The 9450-nt window shown below is 45.8% G+C and overlaps 1 long non-coding RNA gene across 1 annotated transcript; it reads right to left on the reverse strand.

The window, feature by feature from the left end:
- Positions 1–5123: 5123 nt before the first annotated feature.
- Positions 5124–7917, reverse strand: LOC105376475 (uncharacterized). Its single transcript, XR_930788.4, has 3 exons — positions 6996–7917; positions 6684–6828; positions 5124–6057 (listed from the first exon to the last, which is right to left on the reverse strand). It is a non-coding gene; the product is annotated as an uncharacterized LOC105376475 (long non-coding RNA).
- Between the last annotated feature and the right edge of the window lie 1533 nt (positions 7918–9450).

A 9450-nucleotide genomic window follows, 5' to 3' on the forward strand; every position in this document is an offset into this window, starting at 1 on the left:
TGTGATCAGTCAGTGTGCTCAATCAGCTAACTATTATTGTGTACGATATTTTACTCTTGTTTGGAATAAAAGTTTTCTTCCTTTCTTCCTTTCTTTTCTTTCTCTCTTTCTCTCTCCTTCTTTCTTTCTCTCTCTCCCTTCCTTCCTTCCTTCCTTCCTTCCTTTCTTTCTTTCTTTCTTTCTTTCTTTCTTTCTTTCTTTCTTTCTTTCTTTCTTTCTTGCTTTCTTTCTTTCTTTCTTTCTTTCTTCTCACTCTTGCTCTGTTACCAGGCTGGAGTGCAGTGGCACAATCATGGCTCACTATAGCTTTGAACTCCTGGACTCAAGTGATCCTCCTCCCTTGGCCTCCTGAGTAGCTGGAACTTCAGGCATGCACCACCATATTTGGCTAAGTTTTAAAAAAATTTATGTAGAGACGAGGTCTCAGCATGTTTCCCAGGCTGGTCTCAAACTCCTGGGCTCAAGTGATCCTCTTACCTCACCTCCCAAAGTGTTGGGGTTACAGGTGTGAGCCAAGAAAAATTGAAGAGATGTTTTAAAAAATGAGCTTCAAGTCACCATAAACCCTCTGCTCCAACTGCTCTGGAAAGTGCTGATGTCGTGACAGATGTGCTCCTTCTGGTGATATTGAAGGAAGCCGGAGAACTCAGGGCCTTTCTGGGGCCGTGTAATGATGATGTCCCGCCAGCCACTCTTGCTGTTGAGCTGATTCTCTCTTCTCCCTTTGACCTCTAGAAATAAGAAGAAAAGATCAAACATAGAGGCAGGAATGAGTTTCACTTCACAATCTCTATGCTTTATTTAGTTTTAAAGTTAAGATTTGCTTTATAGGCCAGGTGCAGTGGCTCATGCCTATAATCTCAGCACTTTGGGCTGCCGAGGTAGGCGCATCCCCTGAGGTCAGGAGTTCGAGATCACCCTGGCCAACATGGCAAAACCCCATCTCTAGCAAAAATACAAAAATTAGCCGGGTGTGGTGGCGGGCACCTATAATCCCAGCTACTCCGGAGGCTGAGGTGGGAGAATCGCTTGAACCCAGGAGGCGGAGGTTGCAATGAGCCAAGGTCACACCACGCACTCCAGCTTGGACAACAGAGCCAGACTCTGTCTCAAAAAAAAAGGATTTGCTTTACATAGGTAAGAGCAAGCCACTTTCCATTTGCTGCTTAGTCTTGGGGATTGGATAGTGTTCTCCCAAATTCACATTCACCTGGAACCTCAGGATGTGATCTTAGTAGGACATAAGGTGATTGCAGATGTACTTAGTTAAGGATTCTGAGATGCAATCATCCTGTATTTTAGAATCATCCCTAAATCCAATGACTGGGATCCTTATAAGACAAGGAGAAAACACAGAGGGACACAGAGAGAAGGAGCTGTGAAGATGGAAGCAGAGATTGGAGTTACACTGACACACATCAAGGGGCACCCAAGGCCATCAGAAGCTGGAAGCGGCAAGAAAATAACCTACTCTAGAGCCTTCAGAGGGAGCAGGGTCCACCGACACTTTGATTTTGTACTCTGGCCTCTAGAACCGTGAGAGAATAAATCTCTTTTGTTATAAGCCACCCAGTTTGTAGTACTCTGTGATGGCAGCCCTGGGAAACTGATAGAGACAGGAAAATACAACCTGTCTGCCCTTTATGGAAAGGGGAGAAGTAAGGAACACTCCTGCCCTCCTTCACTCTGTGTAGGTCTCCTCTGCTTTAACTTCCTGCATAGAACTCATCACAATCATAATCAAACACGAATTATTTTTCCTTTTGCTTGTTTTCTGTCTCTCCTCCTGCTAGAGTGTAAGCTCTTTGAGGGCAGGGACTTTCTGTCCTGCTCACTGCTGCATTCTGCTGCCTAGAATGATGCCTGGCATATATACAGTAGATGCTCCGTAAATATTTTCTGAATTTATGAATAAATGAAAGAATGAAATAGGCAGGAGTTCTGGGGATTGTCTCATATAACTTTTCTTAGAAGGGACAAAACTGAGAGGAAAGATGAGGGCGTTCCAAGGCGAGGAACCAATAAAGGTGTGCAAAGGCCGAGAGTCACAAAGAGGAAAGCTGTTGGGACAATGGCAGATGGCGGCATTTGCTGCCTGGGGTGGGAAGGAAGAATGTGAATCTGGAATGATGCATTCGGGCCTGAGTGTGAGAGGCCTTGCGTATTGGTAAAGAAGTCGGTTGCGGCTGGGCCCGGTGGCTCATGCCTGCAATCCCAGCACTTTAGGAGGTGGAGGCGGCAGATGACGAGGTCAAGAGATTGAGACCATCCAGGCCAACATGGTGAAACCCCACCTCTACAAAAAATACAAAAATTAGCTGGGCGTGGTGGCGTGTGTCTGTAGTCCTAGCTACTCCTACTCGGGAGGCTGAGGCAGGAGAATTGCTTGAACCTGGGAGGCAGAGGTTGCAGTGAGCCGAGATGGCGCCACTGCACTCCAGCCTGGTGATAGAGAAAGACTCCGTCTAAAAAAAAAAAAAAAAGAATTTGGTTGGATTCTGAGGCAGTGGAAAGCCAATGGGTTTATTTAAAGCAAAAGAATTTTACAAAATGTTAAAGGAATTGCTTTGGAAACAGTGGCAGTGCTTGACTCAAGAAGTGAGAGGTGCCTCTGAAGCAAGTGAGAGAAGGACCTGAGGGAAAGCTGCTTCCCTCTGAAACACTGGACAGCACTGGTGAAGAACTGGGTAGGGGTAGAGAGATTAGAAAGCCACAGGCACAGCTCAGCGTGGCTCTCTGGTCTCTTACATGGGGCTGAGCCCCTGGTGCTGGAAAATATAAGAAATGGAGCAAGTTGGAGGTGGAAAACCTTAAGTTTGGGGATCCCACAGAACATTCCAATGGAGATGCCCAGTATTGGTTGGACAGAAAGGTCTGCCGCTCGGGAGAGGGGTAAAAGCCAAGGACACGTCACTGGGAGACATCAATGAACATGAAGGCAGGAGGGTGGATGAGGCCACCCCCGTTGAACATAGAAAGAAAGAGGTCCACGGACAGACCTCTTGGGAAGAGGAGTGAAAGTGAAGCCATTAGCTGTGAGCACGTTGCATTCTGCTGCATGATAAAAAGCACGTTTAAAATGCTTACGATTCTTTAGAGAAGTGCCGTCTTTTGGTATTAAGTGTTAATACTTGTAATGACACTGTTCTATTTGTCTCTTAAAAAGCTTATGCAGGCCGGGTGCAGTGGCTCACGCCTGTCATCCCAGCCCTTTGGGAGGCCGAGGCGGGTGGATCACCTGAGGTCAGGAGTTCGAGACCAGCATGGCCAACATGGCGAAACCTCATCTGTACTAAAAATACAAAAAAATTAGCCAGATGTGGTGGCGGTCACCTGTAATCCCAGCTGTTTGTGAGGCTGAGGGAGGAGAATTGCTTGAACCTGGGAGGCGGAGGTTGCACTAAGCCAAGATTGCGCCACTGCACTCCAGCCTAGGAGACAAGAGCAAAACTCGTCTCAAAAAAAAAAAAAAAAAAAAGCTTATGCAAAATGCAAAATAAACTAATATGACTAATTGTGGACAATATAGACTCCACAATGAAAAATAGATCATTAGAATGAGGAGAAACATTAGCCTTAATCATCCAAACTCAACACAGGAATCATGAGGAGCAGGCACTGAATTTGACCTAGAAAACAAACAGGGTTTCCTGTTAATGGAAGACAGTAACAAAAAGAACTTCTCAATGTTTGAAAAATATCCTTTCTCCTGGATGACAGCCAGGGTATGGTCCCAGGGCTGTTTGGTTCTTTCCTGATCAGCATAGGAAAAAAAGTATTCTTTCCTCTTTCTGCAAATCTACCCGGGTCCCTTTGTGGTTCCACAATCATTTGTCACTTGTTAATAAGCTCTTATTAAGTGTTTCATCTGGAGGAAGCAAGTGAGTTAGTCCTCTTGCTCTCTGATGTAGGGATTCACGATTCTATCATAGAATTCTTCCAAGAGAAGGATTTCACAAACAGAGGAGGAGGAAGGGCGTGTGTCTTTCCATCCACTCCCTCACCTCTCTGTGCTGTGGCACAGACTTGCAATTCCTTTTTTCATGCCACCTACTCATCTTTTAATGCTGAGTTCAGGAGTTCAGGTCACTCTGTGACTGCGACACAGCCTTCACTCCATCCACCATTTAAATACCCAGAGGCAGGGTGGGGCATCTCCTCTGAGGTCCTAATTTCTTTCCTCCTTTCCTTTTTCCTTTTTCTTTTCCTTTCCTTTCTTTCCTTTCCCTCTTTCCTTCTCTCTCTCTTTTCTCTCTTTCTCTTTTCTTTCTCCCTTCCCTTCGCTTCCATTACCTTCCCTTCCCCCCCCTCCTCCCTCTCTCTCTTCCTCCCTCCCTCTCTCTCTCTTTCTCAATTTCTCTCTTTCTTTCTTTCTTTCTTACAGGGTCTCACTCTGTCACCCAGGCTGGAGTGCAGTGGAGCGATCTCTGCCTGCAACCTCCACTGAGTTCAAGCGATTCTCCTGCCTCAGCCTCCTGAGTAGCTGGAATTACAGCTACAAACCATCACATCTGGCTAATTTTTGTACTTGTAGTGGAGATGGAGTTTCACCATGTTGACCTCAAGCGATACGCCTGCCTCAGTTTCCCAAATTGCTGGGATTACAGGGGTGGGCCACTGCACTGGCTGAGATTGTATTCATTTTCTCTACATGTGTCTATCCCCGGAACTTAATTCATTTCACAACTCTTTGTTTATCTGCATTTCTCTACTATCAGACACAAATGAGTTCCTTGGGACAGCAATCAGTGTTTGTCATATTTGCAGAACCAGTACCTAACATCCACTGCTCCCAGAGCTCAAAAACAGTAATGCTGGGCTAGCCAGGCACAGTGGCTCACATCAGTCATCCCAGCACTTTAGGAGGCCTAGGAAGGAGGATGGCTTAAGCCCAGGAGTTTGAAACCAGCCTGGGCAACATGGCCAGACTCCGTACAAAAACTGAAAAATGAGCTGGGCATGGCGGCAGGCGCTTGTAGTATCAGCTACTTGGGAGGCTGAGGCTGGAGCGTCACTTGAGCCCAGGAGTTTGAGGCTGCAGTGAACTATTATTAACGGTGGAGGGTGTCCAGGTTCTTGGCGTCTTAAACAAAGAATTGGACAAAATGCACAAACAAAGCAAGGAAGGAATGAAGGGTTTTATTGAAAATGAAAGCATATTCCAGTGTGGGAGCAGGCTTGAGCATAGGGGCTCAGAGGCCCCTTTACAGAATTTTTGGGAGTTTAAATATCCCCTAGAGGACTCCATTGCTTACTTCAGGTATGTCCTATGTAAAACGGAGACGATGAAGTAAAATTACAAAGTCATTCACCTCGTACGCCCTATGGAGAGGTTATTTCCTGTTATAGCTGAAGTGTGAATCGGCCTTATGTTCCCTGCCTTCAGACCCTATTTTCCTGTGTCACTGTGATCGCAGCACTATGCTCCAGCCTGGGTGACAGAGTGAGACACTGTCTTTAAAAACAGAAATTAAGGCCGGGTGCGGTGGCTCACATCTGTAATCCCAGCACTTTGGGAGGCCGAGGCGGGCGGATCATGAGGTCAGGAGATTGAGACCATCCTGGCTAACGCGGTGAAACCCCATCTCTACTAAAAACACAAAAAATTAGCTGGGCGTAGTGGCGGGCGCCTGTAGTCCCAGCTACTCGGGAGGCTGAGGCAGGAGAATGGCGTGAACCCGGGAGGCGGAGCTTGCAGTGAGCAGAGATCGTGCCACAGCACTCCAGCCTGGGCGACAGAGCGAGACTCCGTCTCAAAAAAAAAAAAAAAAAAAAAAAGAAAAGAAAAGAAAAAGAAAACAGTAATGATAACCAACTGCAGCCCCAGGGACTCTGCCCTGCGCATGGTTAGCCCTGGCCCGGGGCCTGACTCAGCTTTTTGTATCCGGGTCCCTTTGCCATCCACCTGCACTGCCTCTCTTGAATCTGATGGTCTGAGGACAAAAGCAAGGAGAATCCAGGAGTGGAGGAAACTGGACATGTCTTCCAGACAGAGGAGGCAGGAGAACAGAGAGGAAGTGGCAGGCAGTCATGAACCTGTGGCAAAGAAGCATCGCCCTGAAAAAGAGGGAGAGGCAATTCAAACCTGTTTGGGGCGGTCAAGCAACTCTGCCTTCTGCCCCACAAGAGGCTCTGGATCTTCCCTGTATTTGGAGAGCTGGGGATGAGGGCAGAGAGAATGGGCTTCTCCATGTATTTGCCAGTCGGATGCATTACAGCGATTACAGACAAATTCAGTCAATGAGAGAGGCGCATCCTTGCAGTTATTTAGTTAGAGAACCAGTGTGTGATAATCTTTTCTACAGCAAGACACTGTTTTTCTGTAGGGTATTCATATTTATAAAGGGTATTTCTATCCATTATTTTATTGATCCTATTGGGATACAAAATGGTTAATTTAAAAAAAAATTTTATTGTGGAAAATTTCAAACAGACACAAAAATAGACCGCATACTAGACTAGACCCCCCAAACCTAGCATCCTCCTTTAATAGTTATCAATATTTTGCCAAGCCTGTTTCATTTATCCTGTCTCTTCCTCCTTTTTATTTTTTGCTAGGATATTCTAAAGCAAGCCCTAGATAACATATGGTTTCCACAATGCTATTATCATCTCCAGCAATGTCATAATTCATTTCATCATATCATTTAATAAATAGTCGATTGTAGAAAAGGTATCCTTACCCTATTTTCATTAACCCAGAAGAAAACAGAGGGTCAAAGACAAAAGCGATTTGCTCAAGGTCACATGGCTTCAGGAAACACACTGCCCTGGAGCTGGGCTCTTCTGACCACAAAGCCCAAGGTACTTTCCACTGTCACTCTGATGCTGGAGAAGCAGAAGAAATGGAGAGTAAAGTCAATGAGCCTTAGAGGCAAGATCCAGTTGGGGTGCTTCTCAGCAGGTAACTGAGCTGCAATCCTTTGTTCTTTGTGAGACTTGCTTAGATCTTTTTCCAGAACCAACCCAAACAGCATATTATAGACAGAACATACAAACCGGGCTGCCCATCCTCTCTGAAGCCATCTCATCCTGCATGCTAGGGCAACTTGAAACCTGTGGAGAGAAACAACAAGGGTGACAAGGCTACTCAGGAAGGAAATGAATCCATGACTTCAGGGACTCTCATCTGTTCAGTAATAGTGTGAAGTCCATTTCCTATGTCCCCTCACTTCCCAGAAGCCTGGTGAGGGCTGCCAGGGGGAAGGGAAACTGTCCAGAAGAGGTGAAGTAAGATCCATGTGCTAGCAAGCATCCCCTGGAGAGAAAGGAGATGAGGCAGCCAATCTGAAGACCTCCCAGGTAACATTTCAGTTGATGATCAGATCCCATCTCCTGGCCAGCATCCCCAGCCCTGCCTGGTGTGGTCCGTCCCTGTCTACATGCTGGCTCTTTTTTGAACAAGACAGATGTTGGGGGCCGGGCATGGAGGCTCATGGCTGCAATCCCAGCACTTTGGGAGGCCGAGGTGGGTGGATCACTCGAGGTCAGGAGTTCAAGACCAGCCTGGTCAACATGGTGAAACCCCGTCTCTATTAAAAATACAAAAATTAGCTGGGTGTGGTGGTGGGTGCCTGTAATCCCAGCTACTCAGGAGGCTGAAGCAGGAGAATCACTTGAACCCAGGAGGCAGAGGTTGCAGGGCGCAGCACTGCACTCCAGCCTGGACCCAGTCTCAAAAAAAAAAAAAAAAAAAAAAAAAGACAGATGTTGGGAGTCTTCTCCCAGACAGCTGATGTTCATTAAAATCGCAGAGAATGGGGATGGCCACCACATCCTGCAGCAAAAGAGATGCAGAAAGCATCCAGGAGAAGGACAAAAGGAAAGAAGGCACAGGATGGGGCAGAAAATAGGGCAAAGTAGCCAGAGACTGTGGGACTCCTCAGCAATGAGAGTGTTTATTTTCGTTATCCTGAGTCACCGGCTTCACAGTCTTGCCAGCTGTAAGGCTGCGTCATTCCTGATGTTGACATGTAGCCCGGAGGCAGGAAACTTCAGAATAGAGGAAAGGTGGCTTTTAAATAACAACAACCACCAACAGTGGTATGCTAACCCAGTCATGGGATCAAGACTCATTCATTGGCAGGTTCTCGAGGCAAAGGATGTTTATTTCAGAGTCCTAGAAGGCCAAACTTACATTGATACCTCAAGTGGTTTAGTGTGGGATTGAGTAGTGTAGTTTTCATTTTTCATTAGGAAAAAGTCTATTATATATTTGCCATTTTAAAAGGTTTAGTGTTAGTGCTATTACTTTATAATACACATATATACTTACATACATTCTTTGGTATGTATCAAATATATCAAAAAATTATGTGCTGCTGGGAAGCTAAAGTAGCCATACTTTTCCCTATTCTTCCAAGTCCAGTTAAAAATCCTGGATACTACATATAAAACAAACGTAAGAAAAACCTAAAAGGTGGTAGAAAGTAGACAGGTTAGGGATTTCGGGATCCAAGGAATAACACAGTGATGAGCTCTCTGGGTTTTCTGTCAATCTCATATGTCCCAGACTTGGAGCTAAAGAACCTGGCAACCTGAAAATGCCAAAGGGCACAGATAAAAATAAGAAAATTAAAATAAATAGGTGGGTGCAATGGCTTATGCCTGTAATCCCAGCACTTTAGGAGGCTGAGGTGGGAGGATCGCTTGAGGCCAGGAGTTCAAGACTAGCCTGGGTAACATAGCAAGACTCCTGTCTCTATTTAAAAGAATAAAAATAAATAAATATTAATAAATAAACCAACAAAAGTTTACTCTCACTAGCCAAAGGACCAAGAAAGAGGCAGAAGCCCTTTAGACAATAATTACTTTTTGCTCCAGTCAAACACTTCAGGAAAGACTATGTTCCTACTGCCAGCCATGTCCATGCTAGCAAAGATCAAATGGGAGGCCTGAATTTCCACCCCAACCCCCACCTGGAAGCAATGAGGTGCCCCTTCCACACACCACTGAGGAGACATCAAAGGAGGCCTAACGGAAAATCAGGACTGTCGCTTCAGCCCAGAGGTCACAAAGCCACCACCCTGTGGTATCAGTGGAGGTCACATGGAGAGGAATAATGAGGGGCTCTTACACCCTCCAGCCAGGGAGGAATCAGTGGAGGGCCAGTGAGGATCCCGGACTCTCCCACCCACCAGGTAATAATGAGGACTTCCCCCACCTTGGGTGTCAATGGGAGCTGAATGGGAAGTGTGGACTTCTTCTACCTGTCAATAATGAGGTGGCATCCTCCCCTTTCTCTGCCACAAGATGTCAGAGGAAGTCGTCTAACACAGAGGGTTAAGTAAGATTCAGAGACTCATCACATGGTACTCCTGAAAATCCAAGTTTCAACAGAAAGTCACTTGTCATATCAAGAACCAGGAAGATAGCAAGCTGAATGAAAAAAAATTGGCAATCAACAATCTATAGATGCAACATCAAGAAGAGAGAAATGTTAGGATGATC

Source organism: Homo sapiens, chromosome 10 (assembly GCF_000001405.40).
Source record: "Homo sapiens chromosome 10, GRCh38.p14 Primary Assembly".
Taxonomy (NCBI): Eukaryota; Metazoa; Chordata; class Mammalia; order Primates; family Hominidae; genus Homo; species Homo sapiens.